General features: G+C 39.4%; 1 long non-coding RNA gene and 1 pseudogene across 2 annotated transcripts in view, besides 1 other annotated feature; both read left to right on the top strand.

Moving 5' to 3' along the window:
• The window catches only part of LINC03036 (long intergenic non-protein coding RNA 3036), a 245,028-nt gene that overhangs the window by 139,508 nt on the left and 80,061 nt on the right, over window positions 1–25,459 (top strand). For both annotated transcript variants that reach the window (NR_186540.1, NR_186541.1), the window contains one exon: window positions 23,746–23,877. This is a non-coding gene — a long non-coding RNA (long intergenic non-protein coding RNA 3036). The remainder of the gene's footprint in view (window positions 1–23,745; window positions 23,878–25,459) is intronic.
• RPL17P36 (ribosomal protein L17 pseudogene 36) lies at window positions 17,441–18,053 on the top strand (annotated as a pseudogene).
• Window positions 23,833–24,127: an enhancer, noted in NCBI's record as "tiled region #10884; HepG2 Activating DNase matched - State 8:EnhW". NCBI's record gives its function as "activates a minimal TATA promoter and a strong SV40 promoter by Sharpr-MPRA in HepG2 cells {active_cell/tissue: HepG2}" and the evidence as "EXISTENCE:reporter gene assay evidence [ECO:0000049][PMID:27701403]".

Genomic DNA, 25,459 nt, shown 5'->3' with positions numbered 1-25,459 from the left:
AGCCTGGGCAATATAGTAAGACCCCATCTCTACTAAGCATAATAATAATAATTATAAATTAGCCCGGTGTGGTGGCACACACCTGTAGTCCCAGCTACTAGGGAAGCTGAAGTGGGAGGATAGCTTGAGTCCGGGAGGTTGAGGCTGCAGTGAGCCATGGTCATACCACAGAACTCCAACCTGGGTAACACAGTGAGACCCTGTCTCAAAAAAAAAGAAAACTTTTTGCTTTCATTGAATTAATCCTTTAGCATGTCGTCCAGGAGTTAAAATATTGGGTCAAAAGATGGAGGTTTTTCTTAGCTTTTGGTAAATATCTCCACATTGCTTTCCAAGAGTGTGAGCCAGTGTCCTCTGACATACTGGTGGGCTCTAGGTGGCCTGTTAGATCCGTGTGTGCAGGACACAGTCTAGAGGGATTTCTAGCTGTCTCTTCTATTGAGAGCCTCAAAAGTCATTCCCATCGTCCTGAGGAAGAGTTAAATATGACATCTTCAGCCAAAGAAACTGACATAACATGCTACCTAACGAAGACTCCAAGAACCCTCTTATGATGATGATTATCATAACATACACTTAGGTGCCAGGCAATGTCTTGCTCTCTCACTTGGTTTATTTTGCTTAGTTCTTATAATAACTCTCCAAGGCTGATATTTACTATCCCTTCTTAAAGATGAGGAAAAAAAAGAGCTCAGAAACTTGTTTCAGGTGACATGACTACTAAGTGTCAGAGCCAAGGTTTGAACTTAGGTCTGCCTGACACCAAGGCCCACGTCTTCAACTGCTATGCCATGTGTTTAGGGAACATGTGGCATGTCTGGGATATTGCTGTAAAGTATAAACATACTTTAGCAGTGAATGTACTTATACAACAAAAATTGGGATGTTAGGGTGTCATCTTCATCAATGTGTGGATGAAGCAAGCCATGAAGATCACTGTCAACTTCAGTGCATCTTTGAGAACAAGGACTGTGGCTGTGGGTGTTGGGGTGAGATAGTCTAAGTGTCAGCCTAGTCTAGGTTCAGTCTAGACCTACAGGCTGAGGTGACAAAGAGACTCACAGGCACACTGTCATGGTATGTGGCTGATCAGGGGAGCCTGGGATCTGTTAATAATCCACAAATGCTGTGGTATTAAATGAGCATCTCACAGGGGAAGGTGATCTAGTCTGGGGAGTCAGGGAAAGATTCCTGGAGGAGATGATGTTTAAGCTACAATTCAAAGGATAAAGTTACCTAGAAGAGGATGGTAGGTGAAATGGGAAGACCATTCTAGCAGGGGAAATAGTATGCACAAAGTCCCTGTGGCCAGGGAGAGTTTGGAGCTTTTGAGAAACTGAGGGAAAACTTGTATGGCTGCAGCACAGGCAGCCTTGTGTTCTCCTGTCCTCATTGATACCAGCGTCCATGAGTGGGCTGATCAGGAGTCAGCTCTAGGCGTGTGCTGCCCCTCAGGGAGGGGCTCAGGAAGGTGGTGGGAGCGTAAGCTGAGGGCGGGTCATTAGAGAGTATGGTAGGTATGCTATGTTGGCGTCCTCAAACTTGCTCTACCTTCCTTCTAGTTAGGGAGGTTGGAAAGTTCACCACCACATTTCCCAGACTCCCTTATAGCTAGTGTTCCAGATGCAAATTAGGCAGGGTCCATTAGATGCAGGTGTGCAAGATTTGGACAGGGGAGTTCAGCAATCATTTCTCAAACCTCTGCTCATGGCCAGCATTGTGCCAGGAGCTGGAAATGGAAACCAATAAGATAGATTTCCTGCCTGGAAGTTACTCATGGCATGATTAGATCCCATGGCTCATGAGGTTCTGTCATTTCCAGTGCTACTCCAATTTCGGCGCATAATGCAGTTGGCATGGCCATGTAAACTCAACACTAATGCCAACTAGTGGTCTTATCTTATAGGCATACTATTCCTAAAATTTCCATCTACCCTGAAAAGTATCTTCCATATTCAGACTGTATCTCTATTTTATGAAAATGGACTGTATTGAGACACTGCTTCTAAGGAACTAAATTTAGTTTGAGAAACTGCTCTGAACTTTGGAGTCATTAAATGTAGTCTTTTAGTGCGTGCACATATGACAGAGAAAAATTACAGTCAGCAGCGTCTATATTGAAAATCCTGCATTAGATTGCCATCAGTTGCTAATAATACATCATAATTATTCTTATAGGGTTAAGCTTTTCTCTTTCCTCTTCCACCTGCCTTGCTGAGATAACCTCTAAGGATGTCCTGGAGGATGGTAGGGCTGGAATTCAAAAGCTTTCATGACAGCTGAGCTCTCCATGCAATTCATTATATTGGAAAGATGAGGAGAGGGGGTTGTCAGCAAAGATAATGGCCATGCAATTTCCAGTCCATTCTCCTTGCAGCCAGATCTTGGAGGCAGCCCATAGACCAATTTCATCAAGCAGACCCTGCTCATCTCTCGTCTGTCTATATTGGGAAAGAGGTTGTGTCTGGCTCAAGCAGGAGCAGGCTGGTGGCAGGGGGTGGTGTGGGGGAATGGGATAGGGGAGGTGTCTGGGGAAATAGGCCAGGGCTCTTTCCCAGAGTGCTTGGTCCTGAGGTTCTTGGGTGTGGTTCTGGTTGATATCAGTGTCAAGGGGCTTAATCCAGAGGGTTGGCTAGGAATGGGAGATTAACCCCCACCCCAGGATACAGTTCTGTACGTTCTGTGTATTCCCAGCTTTGAGCCTGGTGCCAGCAGAGCAGGCACTCAATAAATGTCTGACTGAATGTGCAGGAGACTGAGACAGCACAGGTGTGGGGTTACTTGCCGCAATGAAATCAACCATGTATGCTTCCCAAGGGAAATGAAAGTTGTGCTTTTCTCCAGTTCCTGCCTAGGGAACAAGCTTCTCTGTAGGAAAATTCTAGTATGGTAGCAGCATCAACATTGGATTATCTATTGAGAGAAAGATCTGTTTGGCAGGCATCCCCAGTACCACCTTTGCAGGGACTAAAGGCTTCATGAGACTGGGAATGCTACTCTTGCTGAATCCATCAATACAGGAGAGGACCTATACTGATAGGTCTATTGATAGACCTATAAGATGAAATTCCGCATCTTAAATTCCCAAAGGAAGCCAAGTTGGACTTTAAACACAAAAGAGGTGGCTCCTTCTAACTGGAAGGTGGCAAATGTCACACATTCTGTGTTTCCTGTGCAGGTTTTCATTCACACTTTCAAGGCTGTTTCATTTTCCTTCCCAGCCTTGCTACCCTTCTTCCTTTAGGCCTCCTTCCATTTGTCACCCAGCGTGCCCTTGGCAGATTCCCAAGGTTATGGTCACTACAGAAACAGTGGTCTTGCCTGATTACAGTAAGGAAAGGGAAACACTAAAAGATTACAGAAGGTAGCATGACAGAATTAGAAGAATTATTATATTACATATCTGTAATTCTAGCACTTTGGGAGGCTGAAGTGGGAGGATCGCTTGAGCTGAGGAGTTTGAGACCAACCTGGGCAACACAGTGAGACCCCGTCTCTACAAAAAATTTTTTCTAAAAAATCAGTGGGTTGTGATGGTGCATGCCTGTAGTCCCAGCTATGCAGGTGGCTGAAGTGGGAAGATATCTTGAGCCTGGGAGGCTGAGGCTGCAGCGAGCTATGATTGTGCCACTGTATACCTGCCTGGTGACAGAGTGAGACCCTGTCTCAAAAAACAACAACAAAAAGAATTATTAAATTACAAGTATTTGAAATCTCCTTGCAGCCCACATCCCTCAAAAGAAAGATAATTTAGGTGAGGCATAGTGGCTCACACCTGTAATCCCAGCAGTTTGGGAGGCCGAGGCGGGTGGATCACTTGAGGTCAGGAGTTCAAGACTAGCCTGGCCAACATGGCAAAACAGCATCTCTACTAAAAATACAAAATTTAGCCTGTTGTGGTGGCATGCACCTGTAGTCCCAGGTACTCAGGAGGCTGAGGCAGGAGAATCTCTTAAACCCAGGAGGTGGAGGTTGCAGTGAGCCGAGATTGCACCACTGTACTCCAGCCTGGGTGACAGAGCGAGACTCTGTCTCAAAACAAAACAAAACAAACAAACCATAATTTAGTTGCTTGGCCAATGACAGGGACTGTTAATTGTTCCTGTAAATCAAATCTCTGCTTCTACAGGAAAAATACCTCCAAATTTTAATTGGGCACAAAACCACTTGGAACAAAGACTTCCCCAGTCTGTCTTACAGCTAAGTATGGTTATGTGACTAGATTCTGGTCTTTGAGATCCAAGCAGAAGTGATGTGTTCAACTTCCTTTGTTCTTTTTTCTTTCTTTATTAAAAACTGAAGTATAATTTACATACAGATCTTAGCTATACAGTTCAAGGGAATTTGACAAATGCACACACTCCCATAAAGATAAACAACATTTTCATCATCCCAGAAAGTTCCCTACATTTCCATTTCCAATTATCATCCCACCATGCCCCAATCCAGACAACCCCCTAACCCCAGGCCAGCCACTGTCCTGATTTCTAGCATATAGATTAGTTTGCCTGTTCTTGAACTTCATAGAAATGGAATTTTATGGTACATACACTTTGGTATCTGGCTTCTTTCACTCAATGCAATGTCTGTGAGATCAATCCATGTTGTTGCTTGAATCTATTGTTCTTGTTATCACGGAGTAGTGTTTCATTGTATAGATGTATCATATTTTATTCATTTTCCTGTTGCTGGACGTTTGGATGTTTCTGGTTTAGGACTGTTAGAATAAGGCTGCTGTGAACATCCTTGTACAGGTCTTTTTTGTGGACATTTTTTTTTGTTTGTTTGTTTTTGAGATGGAGTTTCGCTCTTGTTGCCCAGGCTGGAGTGCAATGGTGTGATCTCGGCTCATGGCAACCTCTGCCTCCCGGGTTCAAGTGATTCTCCTGCCTCAGTCTCCTGAGTAGCTGGGATTACAGGCATGCACCACCATGCCTGGCTGAATTTTTTTTATTTTTTTATATTTTTAGTAGAGACGGGGTTTCTCCATGTTGGTCAGGCTGGTCTCGAACTCCCAACCTCTGGCGATCCACCCACCTCGGCCTCCCAAAGTGCTGGGATTACAGGCGTGAGCCACCGCACCCGGCCTGGACATGTGCATTATTTCCCTTAGGGATGGAATTGCTGGATCAGTGGGGAGGCGTATGTTTAACTTTATAAGAAATTGCCAAAGAGATTTCCAAAGTGTTTGTCCTATTTTACACCCTATCAGCAACATATGAGAGTTTCAATTGCTTCATGTGCTCACCAACATTTAAGCTCTTGTTAATTTGAGCCATTCTAGTGGGTATATGTTGGTATCTTGTCATTTTAACTTGCATCTTCCTGTACTGTTGAACATTTTCATATGCTTATTACCTATTCATATTCTTTCATTAGGTGTTTTTAAGTTTTTGCCTATTGAAAAATACGACTGCGTGTATTTTTTGAAAAGCTACATTATTGAGGCACAATTTACATATAATAAAATGTGTCCATTTCTCAATGTAGAGTTCAGAGAGTTTTCACAGATACTTATACTTGTGTAATCACCACTGCAAGCAAAATATAGAACATTTCTATCATCTCAAAAAGTTCTCTAAATGCCTCTTTGCAGCCAATCTTCATCTTTCCTTCCCATTCCTGCCCCAGTCAGCCACTGATCTGCTTTTGCCACTGTGATGGTTTTGCCTTTTGTAGAATTTCAAATGAATAGAATCATATGTACTCTTTTGTATCTGATGTTTTTATTCAGGATGCTGTTTTTGAGTTTTACCTATGTAATTGCATGTATCAGTAAATTTTTTTCTTTATAAAGCTAGATAATATTCCATTCTATGGAAGTGCTACAATTTGTTTATACCTTTGCTAGTTAATGATTGGCACATCAACTGGTATATTGGTTTCAGTTTTGGGCTATTATGAATGAAGCATCTATGAACATTTATGTATAATGTGGACATATTCTTTCATTTTGCTTGTGTAAAAATGTAGAACTTGAATTACTAGGCTATATGTTTAACTTTGCAAGAAACTGCTGTAAGATTTTCCAAAGAGGTTGTACCATCTTACATTCCCACTATTGATGTGTAAGAGTTCTAGTTGCTTCATATTCTCACCAACACTTAGCATTGTCAGTCATTTTAATTTTAGCTATTCTAATGGGTATGTAATGACATCTAAGTGTGGCTTTAATTTGCATTTTCCTGTGACTAATAATGTTGAACATATTTCATTGTGCTTATTTGCCATCCATATATCTTATTTGGATGGAAAATCTGTTTAAATCTTTGTTCCTTTTTTATTAGGGTGTCTTGTTTATTGATACATAATAGATGTGTATATTTTGGGGGTACATATGATACTTTGATACATTCATATAATGTGTAATAATCAAATCAGAGTAATTAGGATTCTCATCACCTTAAACATCTATCTTTTCTTTATTCTGCGAATATTGAAATTATTCTCTGCTACCTATTTTGAAATATACAACAGATTATTGTTTACTACAGTCACTCTACTGATTTATTGAGTGCTAGGTCTTATTTCCTCCATCTATCTGTATTTTTGTGTCCATTAATCAACCTCTCTTCATTTACTCCCACCCCCTCCACTTCTTGGCTTCTGATAACCAAGAAGCCAACTACTCTCTATCTTCATGAGATTCACTTTCTTAGCTCCCATATAGGAGTGAAAACATGTGATACTTGCCTTCCTGGCTTGGCTTATTTTACTTAACATAATGACCTCTAGTACCACCCATGTTGCTGCAAATGAGAAGACTGTGTTATTTTTTATGGCTGAATAAAATTCCATTGTGCATACATACCAAATTGTCTTTATTGATCCACTGATGGACATTTAGGTTGATTCCAAATTTTGGTTATTGTGAATAATGCTGCAGTTAACACAGGAGTGTAGATATCTCTTTGATATATTGTTTTTCTTTCTTTTGGATGTATACCCAGTAGTGAGATTGCTGGATCATATGGTAGCTCTATTTTTAGGTTTTGAGGAATACCTATAATGTTTTCCGTAGAGGTTTACTAACTTACACTCCCACCAGCAGTGTACAAGGGTTCCCCTTTCTCTACATCCTTGCCAGCATCTGCTAATCACTGTCTTTTTGATAGCAGCCATTTTAACTGGGGTGGAGCTCCTTGTGGTTTTGATCTGCATTTCTCTGATAATTTGTGGTGTTGATCAATGTTTCATACCCTGCTGGCCATTTGTAAGTCTTCTTTTGAAAATGTCTATTCAGATCTTTTGCCCATTTTAAAATTGAATTATTTGCGTTTTGCTGTTGTTTGAATTCCTTATATATGCTGATTATTAATCTCTTGTCAGATAAATAGTTTGCAAATATTTTCTCCCATTCTGTTGGTTGTCCCTTCACTTTGTTAATTGTTTCCTTTGCTGTGCAGAAGCTTTTTTAGGTTGATTTATCTTAATTTCTATTTTTGCATTTGTTGCCTGTGCTTTTGAGGTCTTATGCAAAACATCTTTGCCCAGAACAACATCCTGGAGCATTTCTCCAATGTTTTCTTCTAGTAGTTTCATACTTTCAGGTCTTAGATGTAAGTCTTTAATCCATTTTGATTTGATTTTTGTGTATGGTGAGAGATAAGGGCCTAGTTTCATTCTTGATACGGTTTTATCCTGTTTCCCCAGCACCATTTATTGAAGAGACTGTTTTTTCTCCAATGTATATTCTTAGTGCCTTTGTTGAAAATGAACTGACTATAGATTTGTAGATATATTACTGGGTTTTTATTCTGCTCCATTGGTCTATGTGTCTTTTTATGCCAGTACCATGCTGATTTGGTTACTATAGCATTGCAGTATATTTTGAAGTCTGGTAGCGTGACGTTTCCAGCTTTTCTTTTTGCTCAGGATTGCTTTGGCTATTTGGGGTCTTATGTGGTTCCATGTAAGTTTTAGGATTTTTTTTTTCTGTTTCTGTGGAGAATGTCATTGGCATTTTAATAGGGATTGCATTAAATCTGTAGATCACTTTGGGTAGTATTGACATTTTAACAATATTCTCTCCATTGTTAAGTGTGGAATATCTTTCCATATTCTTGAATTCTATTCAATTTCTTCATGATAATTTTATACTTTTCCTTGTATAGATCTTTCATTTCTTTGGTTAAGTTTATTTCTGCATATCTTATTTTTTGTAGCTATTATAAATGGATTTGATTTCTTGTTTTCTTTTTCAGATTGTTTGCTCTTGGCATATAGAAATGCTACTGATTTTTGTATGTTGATTTTGTATCCTCCAACTTTACTGAATTCATTGATCAGTTCTAACAGATTTTTGGTGGAGTCTTTAGGGTTTTCTAAATGTAAGATTATGTCATCTGCGAAAAAGAATAATATAACTTCTTCCTTTTAAATTTGGATGACCTTTATTTCTTTCTCTTGTTTGGTTGCCCTGGCTAGGATTTCCAGTCTTATGTTGAATAAAGTGGTGAAAGTGGACACATTTGTCTTGTTCCAGATCTTAGAGGAAAGGCTTTTAATTTTTTTCCCATTCAGGATGATACTAGCTGTGGGTTTGTCATATATAGTCTTTATTGTTTTGAGGTACCCAGTTTGTTGAGCATTTTTATCATAAAGGGATGTTAAATTTTATCAAATGCTCTTTCAGTATCTATTGAAATGATCATATGATTTTTATCTTTTGTTCTGTCTATGTGATATATCACGTTTATTGATTTGTGTATGTTGAACCATCCTTGCATCTCTGGGATGAATCCCACTTGATCATGGTGAATGATCTTTTTAATGTGTTGTTGAATTTGGTTTGCTATTTTGTTGAGGATTTTTGTGTCTATGTTCATGAGGGAGATTGGCTCATAGTTTTCTTTTTTTCTTGTGTCCTTGTCTGGTTTTGGTATCAGGGTAATGCTGGCTTTGTAGACTGAGTTTGGAGGTATTCCCTCCTCTTCAATTTTTTTTAAGTGTTTAGTAGAATTGACATTAGTTCTTTAAGTGTTTGTTAGTACTCAGCAGTGAAGCCATCAGATCATGAGCTTTTCTTTGATGGGAGACTTTTTATTATGGCTTTGATCTCATTACGATTATGGGTTGTTCAGGTTTTCTATTTCCTCAAGATTTAATCTTGGTAAGTAAGTTGTACGTGTCCAGGAATTTATACACTTCTAGGTTTTCTGATGTGTTAGAGTATAGTTGTTTCTAATAGTTTCTAATGATTCTTTCTCTTTCTGTGGTATTAGTTGTTATGTCTTCATTTTAATTTCTGAGGGTGTTTTCTTCTGATTGAGTTGCAAGAGTTACTTATGTATTCTGATAAAGGATGCAAGTCCTTTGTCAGAAATATATTTTGCATGCATTTTCTTCCAGTCAGTGGGTTGCTTAACAGTGTTTTTCAAAAGAGCGGAAGCTTTTAATTTTGATGAAATGCAAGTTATCAGTTTTGTCTTTTATGGTTTATGCTTTTTTTGTGCTCTTTAAGTCAACTTTCTCTAACTCAAATTTGTGAAGCAATATTCAAATGATTTCTCTTAGCAGCTTTATAGTTTTAGCTTTTACACTAAAGTCTGTGATCCGTTTCAAATTAATTTTTGTGTATGCTATGAGGTAGGGGTTGAGCTTCATTTTTTCCTGCATGGATGTCTGGTGGTTGTTTCAGCATAATTTGTTGAACCACCCCCCACCCCACAAACTGCCTTAATGTCTCATCAAAAATAAGTTGACAATATATATTTGGATCTACTTCTGGACTCTATTCTGTTCCATTCGTATTTTTGTCTCTATGCCAATTCCACACCAATTTAATTATCATAGCCTTATTGTAAGTTGTAGATACAAGTAGTATGAGTTTTTAAAAAAAATTTCCAAAATTATTTTGGCCAATTTAGATACTTTGCATTTATTTCCATACAAATTTTAGAGGGGGTTTTTCAATGTCTATAAAAATAGAATTTGCATTGAGATTGTTTTGAATCTGGGAAAACTTGATATCCTAACCATAGCAAGTCTTTATAACCCATGAACATGGTATATAATTTCATTTTTTAGGTCTTTAAATTTTTTTCTCAGCAATGTTTGTAATTTTCAGTGTGCAGATTTTGCAGGTTTTTTGTTAAATTTGCCCTTAAGTATTTTCTAAATGCTATTGTAGATATTTTTTAAATTCCATTTTGCAATTATTTGCTCCTAGTATGTAGAAATTCAGCGAATGTTTACATATGGCCTGTTTATCCTAAGATGTTGATAAATTCATTTGTTAGTTTTAGGAACTTTTTAGTGATTTCTTAGGTGGATTTCATGTAAACAACCATCACCTGCAAATAAAAATACTTTTACTTTGTTCCAAACGTTATATCCTTATATTATTTCTTTTCTTTTCTTCTTTCTCTCTCTCTTTCTTTCTTTCTTTCTTTCTTTCTTTCTTTCTTTCTTTCTTTCTTTCTTTCCTTTCTTTCTTTTCTTTCTTTCTCTCTCTCTTTCTTTTTCTGAGATGGAGTTTCATTCTTGTTGTCTGAGCTGAAGTACAATGGTGTGATCTCAGCTCACTGCAGCCTCCGCCTCCACCTCCTGGGTTCAAGTGATTCTCCTGCCTCAGCCTCCTGAGTAGCTGGGATTACAGGCGACTGCCACCACACCCCACTAATTTTTTATATTTTTATTAGAGACAGGGTTTCACCATGTTGACCAGGCTGGTCTCAAACTCCTGCCCTCAGGTGATCCGCCTACCTCAGCCTCTCAAAGTGCTGGGATTACAGGCGTGAGCCACTGTGCCTTGCCTATTTGTTTCTTTTTCTTGCGTTATTTCAATGTCTAGGAAACTCCAGCACAATATTGAATAGAAATGGTGAGAGCAGATACCCTTACCTTGTTAATCTCAGAAAGAAAGCATTCAATATGTCACCATTAAGTATGATGTTAGCTGTAAGATTTTTGTAACTATCCTTTAGAAGATTAAGGAAGTTTTCTTGTATGTATATTTTGCTTGGAGTTTTGTTTGTTTTTGGTTTTGTTGTTTTAAAAAATTTGTATTGAATTTTGTTATATGCTTTGTCTGTGACTGCTGTGATGATCATTTGGATTTTCTCCTTTATTCTGTAAATGTGGTGCATTGCATTGATTCATTATTTTTATATGTTAAATTGATGTTGTATTCCTGAAATAAACCCCACTTAGTCATAATGTATTATCCCTTTTATAGATTGATAACATTTTGTTAAGGATCTTTGTGTCTATATTCATGAGGGATATTAGTCTGTAATGGTCTTTGCTTATGACATCTTTGTTTTAGTAAAAAGATTATACAGACCCCATAAAAATGATTTAGTAAATGTTCCTTCTTCTATTTTATAGAATAATTTTTGTAAGATTAATGTTATTTCTTCCTTAAATATTTTTTCCTGGAAGAAAATTTACCAAGGAAGCCATCTGGGCCTGGAGTTTTCTTTATGGAAAGGTTTTCAATTACAACTTCATGTTTTTGGACAGATATATGGCTCTTCAGATTTTCTGTTTTTTCTGTCAGTTTTGATAAGTTGTATTTTACAAGGAATGTGTCCATTTAATCTAAAAAGTAAAAATCTGACATAAGGTTATTAATATTATTACTTTATTATCCTTTTAGTGTACATAGGATCTGTAGTAATGCTTTTTAAAATTCGTAATATTGGTAATTTTTTCCTTTTTTCTCGATTAGCTTTGCTAAGGTTGATCAGTTTTAATCTAGTCAAAGAATCAACTTGTGGTCTTACTGATATTCTCTCTTTTTCATGTGTTTTCTATTTCACTAATTTTTACTTTTAATGTTCTTCTATTTACTTATTTTGCATTTTTACTCTTATTTTTCTAGCTTATTAAATTGGAGGCTTAGATTATTGATTTGAAATCTTTCTTCTATACTATAACCAGTTAAGAATATAAATTTCTAATACTGCTTCAGCTACATACCATAGATTTTGGTAAGTTGTGTTTTCATTATTATCCATTAGAACTATTTTCAGTTTCTCTTGTGATTTCCTTATTGACCTATGGATTGCTTAGGAGAGTGTTGCTTAATTTCCAGATATTTAAGAATATTCTAAATTTTTAAATTATTGATTTGTAATTTACATTCGATTAGGGAATCATATAAATTACCTTGGTCATTTAACATTTTTTCAGACTTGTATCATGGCTTAGTATATTTTGTAAGTGACAATTAGGCCAAGTTGGTTAATAGTGTTATTCAGATTTTATATGTTTCTACTGATATTTTGTCTACTTATTCTATGAATTTCTGAGAATGTGATATGAAAATATCCTTTTATACTTTTGGATTTGTCTATTTCTCCTTTTTAGTTCTGTTAATTTCTGCCACATGCATTTTGAAGTTATTAGGTACATATGCATTGAAGATTGTTACATATTTTAAATGCATTGACTTTTTATCACTAATTCTACCTTTAACTCTGGTAATATTTTTATTATAAAGTCTACTTTGACTAATATTATAGCCACTTCAGCATCTTTATTAATTTTTGCATGGTACATTTTTTCTATCTTTTTACATTTATATTTGTATTTAAAGTTTGTGTCTAGTAGGCAACATATAGTTTGATCTTGCTTGTGTATCTAGTCTGACAGGCTCTACTTTTTAATAGGAGTGTTTAATCCATTTACATGTAATACAATTATTGATATGGTTATGTTTAAGTTTACCATTCTGTTATTTTTTTCCTTTAAGTTCTGTTTTTTGTTCCTTCTTTTCTGTCTTCTTTTGGATTAAGCAAGTGTACTTCATATTTTATGTCATATATTCTATTTGGCTTTTAGCTATATCTCTTAATACTTTTATAATGATTTTACTAGGGATTAACTGTGTATCCTTAATTTATCATAGTCTACCTTGAGTTCATGAATAATGTAAGAACCTTTACTCCCCTCCCATATTTTGTGCTATTGTGGTTATATTTAACTTTTAAATTTGTCATAAATCCCATAATATATTATTATTTTTCAGTTCTAGAATTTCTATTTGGTTCTTTTTTAACTTTTATTTTTTTCAATTTTTATCTTGAAATTACTGATCTATTCAGCCATTATATTCCTCTTTTCCCATAACTTATTTAACATATTTATAACAGTTGATTTAAATTTCTTGTCTGTCAACTCCAACAATTAGTCCATGGATCTGCTTTTATTGACTGTTGATTTTCCTGACTTTTGGTTACATGTTCTTGCTTTTTAGCACATTTCATAATTATTTATTGTGGAGACTGAAGTATAACATTTTTTGTTTGTTTCATTTGTTTTCCAGAGAGTGCAGACTTACTCCTCTTGTCTTGCAGGGAAGGGTCAATATTTGACTCAGGGGAGGTTGGATTGCAGTTTCAGGTATTTTTGATTCACTTTGCATTCAACTCCTCAGGGCCCCAAAATTCAATCACCATGAGGTTGAGTGGAACTAAATGTTTTATCTCTGCTTACCTGCCCTTACTTCATGACCTCTTTCTTGGCAAAATTTTTTGTAGGGGGAGAATTGCTGCTCTGAGCAATTTATTTTTGTATTTGGGGCTCTTCCAGATTCCACCCCATCCTGTCAGCCTACAATCTGTGATACCTCTATATTTCACCAATTTGGCTGGACTGAAGCTATGTTTTCCAGAATTTCCTTTCCTGTGCTTCTGGATTAGTTTAGACCACAAGAGACATTTTGCATAAAACTTGGAAGATGGAAATAAAGCTGCAGCTATATTATTTTATATTCTGAAGGTCAATGGGAGTACCAAGAATACTAACAGGTATGGGGCAGCAGCTGATCCCCAGATTCTCTATCTCCCGGGAGATCCCTTTCATCTTCTCTGAGATGTGGGTCAACTGCATGTGTACCTCTAAAGTAAAGCATGTTAGCTTTTTCAGTAGATGATCCACAGGATTAACTTTGGAAAGAGTGAGTGACAGATGTGTATTCCAGTTTGCCCTTATGGGTTTCAGCTGTCTTCATGGGTCCTAGTGCATCCTTGTGATTCCAGTTTGTCCTTGTCTTTATCCACATTCAGTTTTCCTTTCTGCTGCCAGTCTGACTGACCTCTAGTGATTTTAGGCTGAACACTAGTTGCAGAGGCAACCATTAATGTGAACTGTTCTACCAGCTCCCCATTTTGAGTAAGGTCAAACCCGTGAGAAATATCCCTGGTTCTGTACCAGGAAATGACCTTGATTGACACATAGTCAACTAAGGCTAGGCTGATTCCTCCTCATTGCTAGAAAATCTCTCCCTGTATAACATGCCCCATGGAGCCAAACCAGCTTCTCAACCTTTCTCAGGTAGGAAAGCTGCCATGGCCCTCTTTTCCCTATTAAGGTCTCATTACTTACTGGAATTCAGTTCATCAAGGCTTGCGTACTTCACTCTTTGCTAGACTCATAGAAAAGTATAGTTATTGTGTCCATGTTTTTCTTGTTGGTACTTTAAGATTTAAGGCCTTTTCATTCTTCTACATTTTAAACATCAGCAAAACTCTGTAAAGTGTCCTTAAAGGTAGCTATGTGCCCTCTCATCCCCTTCTCTCATTTCTGAGGATGGAAACATACATTATGACTGGTGCTACAGCAGCCCTCTTAGACCTGGTAACAGAGACCACGCCTAGATGTGGCAGAAGAGAGAATGGGAGGTATGAGGGAACTACTACACAAACCCTGAATTAATAACTTCCAGACTTCTGATATGTGAGACTAAGACCTTGAGTGGTTAAGCCACTGATAATTTTAGTTTTCTGATTCATGCAACCAAATCTGCTTCTCATGGATAGAGCCAATTGCAGGGATTTGTGGTGCTATTCAGGGTGAGTAGTGGAGAGGAGAATGATAGAAGCTGGAGGCAATCTGGAAGGCTCTGCATAGGACAGGCTAGCTGGGGAGGCAATAGAGGTAAAAATAATTGCTGTTAAGGCCAGGTTGGCCATGGCAGAAGGTAGGCTAGGAGGTATATTTAGGAGAGGGTTTAGGAGGAGAGAATGTAAATTATTTTTAGGTAGGCTTGGTATGTGCTATGTGATGTAACTTCCCTTTTGCTGCTTCATCAAGATAACTTTTATATGGACTTGCTTCTTTCCAAAGCATTAAGGAAATGGATCTGGGTTTCTTTGGATGCAGCCCTGAACTGAGACAGGCCTAGAAGAGGCCCAGTTTTATTTAAGTTCTGGAAAATAATTTGAAGAGGACTCTAGGCTTGGGAATCATTTGGTTACTGAGACTCAGTGTTCTCCATCTGAATGTGCCATAAGAGAGGAGTCATTTCCACAGCCTTAGAGTCAAGGAATATCCAATCCGGAAAGGTCTTGGGCAACCATCCATCCACATTCCCCTGTTTCAGATGAAAGCAGTATCTGCCTTGATTGAGGCTTGCTCACACTGCCCATTTTCTCCACTGGACCAGGTTATTACATGGTGAGACTTCTCTCTTGGGCTGCTTGATCCTCCTGGGGACTTGTCTCTTCTCAGCCTAGCTGGGAGCTGAAGATCAGCCAACTATATCTTGTCTATATCTGTGTTTTCCACTAGGAAATTCAGCCTTGTGAAGTTGATGGATATGACTCTTATCATTTCTGGGATTTTCATGGAATGACAAAACTGGAAGGGTAATATCTTGGCCAACCTGAAAGAGGAAACTGTGGCCCATAGATAGAAGTGCTCATCCAAAGACAAATAGCTGATAAGGACTGAGCTGGCCTTAACACCTACATCTCATAGCTCACGGTCCAGAGCACTTCCTGCTACTCCTGACTTGGAGTGGCATGGTACAATGGAAGTAACGTGGGCTTAGAAGCCAGATAAATGACTTTTTATCCTGGCATCCCACTAAATTATTGTTGACCTTCCTTCCATCCCTTTGGGGGCTCTTCTCTCTTCTGATGGCAGCAGAGAGCTGGAATACAATTGCAGCAGCAAATTCATACCCTGACCACACACAAATTCCACTATCTCCCAGCCCTGGGATCTTCTCTCATAACTGATGGTCCCAGGTAGAACAGGTGAGGCAACATGAATTCATGAAACGTGCTTTATCTACCTCAGTTGTTCTCAATTGAGGGGGGTGATTTTGTACACATACCCTCTCCCTTCTGTCTGCCTCAGAACATTTGGCAATGTGTGGAGATAACTTTGGTTGTCATAACTGCAGGTTGGGGCATGGAGTGATAGGGGATGGTGAGCACTCCTGGAATCTAGTGGTTGGAGGCCAGGAATGCTATTAAACCGCCTACAGTTCATAGGACAGCTCCCATGACAAATAATTATCCAGCTCAAACTGGCAATACTCTGATAACCTAACTATGACCAAAGCAGTGGGAGCTACATTAGGTCTGTGGCACCCTCAAACTACCAAGTGTGCAGTCTCAGTACCAGCCCTTTAATTTATAGCTTAAGACCATTTCTGTCTGATCTCATCCTTCACCCACATCTGAATCATTTCCCCAACTCCCCTCGTTCCTAAGGGTGGAACTACAAAGGCCAGAACTTTTAAAATTGCAACATGCATGTGAATTACCCAGGGATCTTGTTAACATGCAGATTCAGGAAGTCTGCGACAGAGTCTGAGATTCTGCATTTCTAATCATTTCCCAGGTGATGCTAATGCTGCTGGTCCACAGACCAAACTTTGAGTAGCAAGGAGTGAGGCCACATGTTGCTCTTCCTCTCAGTACTATTTACTTCTTGCATGTGGCTTTTCTCATTATATCATTAACATGCTGGGGACGGCCAGCATGTCTTGTATCTGGGACACCCTAGAGAGGAGGTAGGCTGCAGAGTTCAGTCTGAGCTGGAAATTCTGCCCCACTTGGCTGCATTCCGTCTTGGCTTAACTCCTCTTGAGGTTGAAGGAATGTAAACAAAAACTCAAGAGATTTGATGTAGTTGTGCCATCAGTTATTTTCTAGTTATTATGTCAGGTTTCCCCAATATCTCCTTTGAATATACTCACAGTATATTTCATGTCCACTAACTAAGCCTAATACATTTCTCTTCTAAAATAAAACTTATTTTACTTTTGATCACCGGTATCCAACTCCCCCACTACACACCAATATCTTTAAAATTTCTTATATCTCTATAAAAAGAAGTCTGCTGTGTCACCCTTGGCTCATGATCAGTATTTCCTTGTCAACCAACATCAGCAAGTTACTTAGCCTACCAAGCTTCACTTTCTCACAGGTAACATGGAGCTAATAGTTTCTACTTTGCAGTGTGGTAGAAATGACCTAAGATAATGCATCTAAACATGTCTAGCTCAGAGTAAGTTATAGGTGGTGGTGGGTTTTAAAATGTACCCGGGACCAGGCATGGTGGCTCACACCTGTAATTCCAGCACTTTGGGAGGATGAGGCCCGACACCAGGAGTTCAAGACCAGTAGCCTGGGCAAAATAGTGAGGCCCTAGCTCTAAAAAAAAAAAAAAAAAAAAAAAAAATGCTGTTTCCCTAAGCAGCCTGAGGTAATCTGTGAAAATGGTTCGCTATTCACTTGACCCGGAGAACCCCACGAAATGATGCAAATCAAGAGGTTCCAATCTTTGTGTTCACTTTAAGAACACCATGAAACTGCTCAGGCCATCAAGGGTATACATATATGAAAAGCCAAGAAGTATCTGAAAGATGTCACTTTACAGAAACAGTGTGTACCATTCCTACGTTACAATGGTGGAGTTAGCAGGTGTACGCAGGCCAAGCAGTGGGGCTGGACACAAGGTCGGTGGCCCAAAAAGAGTGCTGAATTTTTGCTGCACATGCTTAAAAACGCAGAGAGTAATGCTGAACTTAAGGGTTTAGATGTAGATTCTCTGGTCATTGAGCACATCCAAGTGAACAAAACACCTAAGATGCGCCGCCGGACCCACAGAGCTCATGGTCGGATTAACCCATACATGAGCTCTCCCTGCCACATTGAGATGATCCTTACGGAAAAGGAACAGATTGTTCCTAAATCAGAAGAGGAGGTTGCCCAGAAGAAAAAGATATCCCAGAAGAAACTGAAGAAACAAAAACTTATGGCACAGGAGTAAATTCAGCATTAAAATAAATGTAATTAAAAGGAAAAAAAAAATTAGCCAGATATGGTGGCACGTGCTTGTAGTCCCGGCTACTCAGAAGGCTGAGGCAGGAGGATCACTTGAGTCCAGGAGGTCGAGGCTGCAATGAGCTATGATCATGCCACTGTACTCTAGCCTGCGTGATAGAGTGAGACCCTGTCTCTAAAACAAACAAATAAAAAATAAGCAAAAACAAACAAAGGATCTAGGATTTTGTTTTAATTAGGTATGGTAAGATGACAGACATAGAGAAATATGCCTTGAAAGGAGTTTATTACAGTTCCCAAGAGAAGGGGGCATGCTGTGCCATGCAGGGTCACATGCAAAGGCACCAGAGTTGGTCATGAGGCAGAAAGAATGAAGAGAGGGCATGACCCATAGACCTTATTGGGGATTCCGTGGGGAGGGATGGGTGAGGCAGGATTGGCAAGTTTGAGCAAGCTTAGAATTAGAGAGTTTGAATAATGTCTGCGGGTTCTAGGCTATAGGAATGGTCTCCAGTAGTCTGTTACTTGGTCCTGGGGTGATTTAGGGCAAGGAAAATATGGGCTTGGTGTGTGAGAGTTAAATAAAGGAAGTGGTTGGGGATACAGGTTTTGGATTGGTTGGTTTGTATATGAAAGATATGTTGGCAGGCAAATTGTTTACTATCTCTAGAAATTAGCTAGCCCTGGAAGGGGAGTCTCTCCAGGATTAGCAAGGCCTCAGGATGTCAAAGCTTTATAAACTACAGAAGATAAAAAACATCATTAATGCATGGTGTCAAGCATGGCTTAGGGTCATTCACACTCCTTGCCTTGCAGCCTGCTTAACCCTTGCCTCCTTAAGTGAACAGACAACTTATGTAAGCACAATGACTTCCAACCAGATGGCTGCCCTGTGTCCCTCTCTGGAAGGCTTCTCCTGCTGCCTCCTCTTAACAGGAAGTCAATGACAGTGCTGCTTCCAACTTGCACAATTTCCAAATGACTGTGTAATCACAGACCCATGTAACCCTCAGCTCTGGTATTCACAGAGAGATAAGAAAAATTCTAGATTCTTGCCTCCCTAAAGCCAAGGGACTGCCTCTGTGTTTCTATTTCATGCTGGTAGAATGAGGCTAATTTTGACTTTCCAGCAGCTCTGATTCCAAGTGAATAACTAGACGCAGCAAGCAACAGGATTGGAACCTGCTGGAGCAGTTAGAAATAAATTGCATGTGCATGGATTCCAGAGGAAACTGCCCTTTGCGGGGGAGGAGAGAGGGGAGGTGGGTACTGGAACAGACTGATCTGCATCCTGCCTTAGCACTAGGGCTGCTGCTTCCCAGGATGACTCACAGCACCATAGAACAGCCTTCCCTGCGAAGTTAAAACAACAACAACAAAAACTTCAATAGATTTGATGCAATAAAGTTGGCAAACAGCCATTGGGGAAGATGGGGCAATGTGGGGCTGGTGAGGCAGATATTACTATTTCCTGGGAGCTCAGTGGGATTTTCAGGATGCTGGGCTCCCTAATGCCAAGCTGCTGGGAGGGAGAGGGTGCTGCGTCCAGTGGGATGCTTTTAGCTGCAATTAACAAATAAGCCAACTTGACCCAGCTGAAAGGTTAAGGAACTTTGTGGCCTTACCTGAGTGGACGCTCACAGGTAGGGTGGGCTTCAAGACTGTGTGACACTGAGCTTCATGAGGCCATCAAGGATACCTAGTTCTTTCTGCCTCTCTCTTCTGCCAGCCAGAGCATCCACTTCATTTTAGAACCACTTCGTTGTAGATTTGCTGCCAGCAGCCAGCGGGGCTATCTTCTTCCTCATTCATTCTAGAAAGATGGAGAAACTTCCTAATCTTGCTTTTTTTTTTTTTCAATATACGCATATTTAATTTTGGTGGGAATTAAGAACTGCAAAAACTGGCTTTGTGTGTGTGTGTGTGTGTGTGTGTGTGTGTGTGTGTGTGAGACAGGGTCTTGCTCTGTCACCCAGGCTGGAGTGCAGGGACACATTCTTGGCTCACTGCAACCTCCCTCCCCCAGACTCAAACAATCCTCCCACCTCAGCCCACTGAGTAGCTGGGGCTACAGGCATGCACGACCATGCTCAGCCAATTTCTATATTTTTTGTAGAGATGGGGTTTTGCTGTTGCCTAGGCGGGTCTCAAACTCCTGAATTCACACAATCTGCCCACATTGGCCTCCCAGAGTTGTAGGATTTCAGGTGTGAGCCATCTGGCCTGGTCTAATCTTGTCCTTTAATAGTAAGGAAAAATTCCCTAAAAGCCCTCAGCAGACTACTTATGTCTTTTTTTTGTTTGTTTGTTTGAGACAGAGTCTCGCACTGTTGCCCAGGCTGGAGTGCAGTGGCGCGATCTCGGCTCACTGCAAGCTCTGCCTCCCAGATTCATGCCATTCTCCTGCCACAGCCTCCTGAGTAGCTGGGACTACAGGCGCCCGCCACCATGCCTGGCTCATTTTTTTGTATTTTTAGTACAGATGGGGTTTCATCATGTTAGCCAGGATGGTCTCGATCTCCTGACCTTGTGATCCGCCCGCCTTGGTCTCCCAAAGTGCTGGGATTACAGGCGTGAGCCACTGCGCCTGGCCAGCAGACTTTTTGTGTCTTATTGGCAAGAACCAATTCCTGGGACAAGGTAGGTGGCACAAGGTAGGGACAAGCTCAGGCTGGGCTTTTGATCCAATCCCTGATGAAGAGGGATGGGATTCTATAATTCATATTGACTAAGTGAGGCCCATCTGGAGGCAGGGCCAGTCCCTGAAATAACTGTGGCCACACAGAGGGACAGGGCTGGGATGGATGTTGAGGCATCAACCACAGTGTCTACTGCAGCATCTTGTTGGAGCCAGGATATCTGGGCTTGACCACTTGCTAGTTGTGTGACTTTGGGCAGGTGGCTTCACCTCTCTGAGCCTTTGTTTTTGCATTTGTAGAAATGAGAGAAAAACCTGTTTGACTTAGCTTTCAGGTTGTGAGGGTCAAATAAAGGATTGGGTGTAAAGGCCCTTCTGAGGTGCACCTGTATGAGGTCGGAAACATCTGCCTCTTGCCCAGCTCCTTCAGGATAAATTAAGCAGACCAATCCCTGCCTCCTAAAAGCTGACAGTCCAAGATAGTGTGAAGCAGAGAGTAGATGGCTTCACAGGTGAGAATGGGTTAACGACAAAATAGCAAGCCTAGAGAAGTGGAATGAGTCACATAGCAGTGCTGTGTTCCTTGCGCCATGGCTTCGGACAGTAACTTTGGTTACTTGGTTACGGTGGTGTCTGCTGGGCTTTTCCACTTTCATGGTTGCTATTTTCACCTTTGTAGGAAATTGGTATTTTGTGGGGAGGTATTTTGAGACTATGACAATATCTTGTTCATCCTGAAATTTTCACCCACAAGTTTTAGCCTCTGCTAATGATTCTTGCCTGAGTCAATTATCGTTATGATGGTTTGCAAATTGTCATTGTCTAATTGTGCCATTCCCTCAACGTGTATTAATTGTCATTGTACTGAAGAAAGTACTTTATTTTCAAGTTCAATGGCTTCAGCAGGATATGCCTTAATATTGAGCATTCAATATCATTTTTATTTGTTACATGGTATGCCCTCTCAATGGTCAGATTTAGTGATTCCTTCATTTTGGGGGAATCCTCCCTGAATTATCCTTCTGAATATACTTTTTATTTTATTTTGTAATATTCTGTTAAAAAATTTAAAAATTTCCCTTTTCCTTTTGTCTTATCACATATGTGATTTTTCAACCACGTGAATGTGAACACACTGTTTAAAAATTTTCTTGAGTTTTTGTATTAGGGTCCTCTGGAGAAACAAAACTAAATATAAATACAGATACAAAAATAAATATAAATAAGTATATGGAGAAAGAGAGAGATTTTAAGGAATTCGCTCATGCAATGGTGGGAGTTGGCAAGTCCAAAATCTAGGCAGGCAGGAGACCCAGGAAGAGCTAATGTGGCAGCCTCAAATCTAAAGGCAGTCGGAAGGCAGAATTCCTTCTTCCTTGAAGGACATCAGTCTTTTTCTTTTAAGGTCTTCAACTGATTGGTTGAGGCCCACCCACATTGGATTACAGATGAGAGTATTCTGTTAACTAAAAGTCTACTGATTTAAAAGTTAACCACATCTAAAGAATACCTTCATAGCAACATCTAGATGGGTGTTAATCAAACTTTTTAGCCACCATAGTCTAGACAAGTAGACACGTAACATTAACCATGACAGTTCTTTATTTCAAAGGTACCAGCTATTCTGTGTTAGATCATTTCAAAAAAATAGCTGTTATGTTCTAATTGCTCTAATCTCTGCATATATTTCCTCTGCAGTAGTGTGATTATCTCAAAGCTTTCTTACATGCCAGCAATTTGATTTTCAGTGGTGTCTATTTAATTCCTTGCTTTTTCTCTCCTTCCTTTCTCCCTCCTTCTCTCCTTCCCTCTCTCTCCTTTCCCCCTTCCCCTTCGCCTTCCCAGGGATGTGCAGTCCCTGTCACTAATTCAGTGGGCAGCTTGGCCCAGATGTTGTTGGAGAATCTGTCTGCTCCCTCTGACCTCTCTATTCTTTCTATGTAATCAGGTTCAGACAAATGGTCCCCCGTGGCAGTGGTCAGTAGCAGGTTTTTTTTTTCAGCCACTGCCCAGGTTAAATCAAAGCTCAAACAGGTTCTCTGTCTCCTTTTGAACCTGCAGCCAAATCGGCTCAAGCTTCAGCAGCCCATTTTATGCTTTATTTACTTGGGTTTTGGTTCACGGAGATGTTTGTCTTGGTTTTAATGACGGTGTGTCTTTTAACATCTTGCCTTTTATATTTTCTTATTAGTTTGCGTTTGGGGTCAGGCTGTGAGGCTCAATATAGGTACTTGAATGACATCCTGTCTGAATTCCATAAAAAAAAAGGGAGGTGATGGTTGCTCAGAGGGAGACTTAGCCATCAAAAAATGATGTCCCAGGTTGGCAGTAGAAGAATGACAAAGATTGTTTTGGCCAGAGACTTAAGAATCCTGGTGCTCTGCAGATGGAGTAGCCATTCTTTTATTCCCATTCTTTTATTCCTATACTTTCTTAATAAACTTGCTATCACTTTACTCTTAAAAAAATAAAAAGAATCCTGGGTTCTGTTTCCTGTAATACCTGCTAATTTGCTGTGTGACTTTGGACAAATGACTTAACCTCTGTGGGCCTTAGTGCCCTCACTGGCAAAGTGGTGATATTGGACTACTTAACCTCCAAGGTCCTTGTCAGCTCTAGAGTTCCAGGAGTCTACAAGGGAATTGTTTAAAACAATGTTCTTTGTTACAGTTGGATGGGCTGTTGAGAGTATTTGTTCAGTTCAGGCAAATGGCAAATGTTTCGGCCACTCTAATGAAATGAGTACATTTTTCTCTAAATGTCATGGATGTTTATTATCAGATTAAACTAAAGCAGGCCTAATTTTAGCTCTTCCAATTCAAGTGCAGCAATGAAGATTAAATGTTAGGCATAATTAAAGATGCAGATGTAGTTATATTGAATTATAAACCTCATTAAGTGCAACGTCCCAGGAAGGCCCCGGAGACCAGCTGCAAAGGACTTCCAGTCACCATGCTGCAGTTATTAAAATATTGTAAAGTAAATCTCACTCTAAAAATATTATGACTTGGATGGAAGGATTTTTTTCTAACATGGCTGGAGTTGGTTTCATGGGTAATTTCTTTGCTCTGTTTGCAGACAGCTGGGAAGGGAAACTTATTCCTTGGCATCTGCACAAAGGCCTCCCTGGGGCTTGGTGCTCCCCATCCCCGCCACACACATACAGCATGGATTTGATTCTCCTGGGCCAGTGAGAAGAGCAACGCCAAGGTCAGTCAGATTCCATTACAGGAGTTGGTAGCAGGGGAATCGGCAGGGGGTGGTGGAGGAGGCAGGGTTTCTAAGGACTCAAAGTCCATGTTTTTATATAAAAGAGAGATAAGTTTCCTAGGTGACATTTCCACTTTTTTCCTGTCTGTAAATATATTACATAGTCATTTAAAAAATTCACACAATGCAGAATAGGATAAAGAAGTAAAAACACCTAACTTCTTCAAGCTAGTTACTGTTAGTATTTTGGTGCATGTCTCTCTCTCAAATTTGACAAAAATAGATCAAACCTTAAAAGCTATTTTGCAGTCTGTATTTTCCATTTAACATAAAGTATCTTTTCATGTCAATAAATATTGATAAGCATTACCTTTTTTAATGGCTGACATTCCATTGTATAGTCTTAATTTTTTTAAAAAAGCCAATCTATTATTGAGAATCTAGATTGTTCCAAAAAAGTTTTTAAAAAAATGATCGTAAACAACACTGTAAGAGAAATCTTTATTCACACGTTTGCATGTCTGTCTAATGAGCTCCATGGGATAAGTTCCTAGAAAGAGTTTAGGCAGTGTCAGTTATCTATTTGTACAATAATGTTAACAAACAACCCTCAACTCAGTAGCTTAAAACAGTAAGTATAGACATACTTCAGAGATATTGCAGGTTCAGTTCCAGACCACTATAATAAAATGAATATTGAAATAAAACTAGTCACACACACTTTTTTGTTTCCTGGTGTATATAAAAGTTATGCTTACATTATACTGTAGTCTATTAAGTGTTCGATAGCATTATGTCTACAAAAATTCACATATCTTAAGTAGTGTTATTATTATAATGTTGTAATTTAATGTGTTAATATAATAAATAGTAACTTTATTGCTAAAACATGCTAATGATCACCTTCAGTGAATTGTAATCTTTTCGCTGGTGGAGGGTCTTACTTCAATGTTGATGACTGCATGACTGATGGCTGATGGCTGCTGTGGGTAACATTGGCTGATGACCAGTGTTGATGGTCAGGGTGGTGGTTGCTGCAGGTTGGAGAGGCTGTGGAAATTTCTTAAGATGAGACAACCTTTGTAAGTTGGATTCTTAGGTATTTCATTCTCTTTGTAGTAATTGTGAATGGGAGTTCACTCATGATTTGGCTCTCTATTATTGGTGTATAGGAATGCTTATGATTTTTGCACATTGATTTTGTATCCTGAGACTTTGCTGAAGTTGCTTATCAGCTTAAGGAGATTTTGGGCTGAGACGATGAGGTTTTCTAAATATACAATCATGTCATCTGCAAACAGAGACAATTTGACTTCCTCTTTTCCTAATTGAATACCCTTTATTTCTTTCTCCTGCCTGATTGCCCTGGCCAGAACTTCCAACACTATGTTGAATAGGAGTGGTGAGAGAGGGCATCTTTGTCTTTTGCTGGTTTTCAAAGGGAATGCTTCCAGTTTTTGCCCGTTCAGTATGATATTGGCTGTGGGTTTGTCATAAATAGCTTTTATTATTTTGAGATACATTCCATCAATACCTAGTTTATTAAGAGTTTTTAGCATGAAGGGCTGTTGAATTTTGTGGA

Source organism: Homo sapiens, chromosome 10, assembly GCF_000001405.40.
Source record: "Homo sapiens chromosome 10, GRCh38.p14 Primary Assembly".
In the NCBI taxonomy this organism is placed as follows: Eukaryota; Metazoa; Chordata; class Mammalia; order Primates; family Hominidae; genus Homo; species Homo sapiens.
The sequence above is the reverse complement of the archived record's forward strand: the minus strand, read 5'-3'. Positions and strand labels throughout refer to the sequence as shown.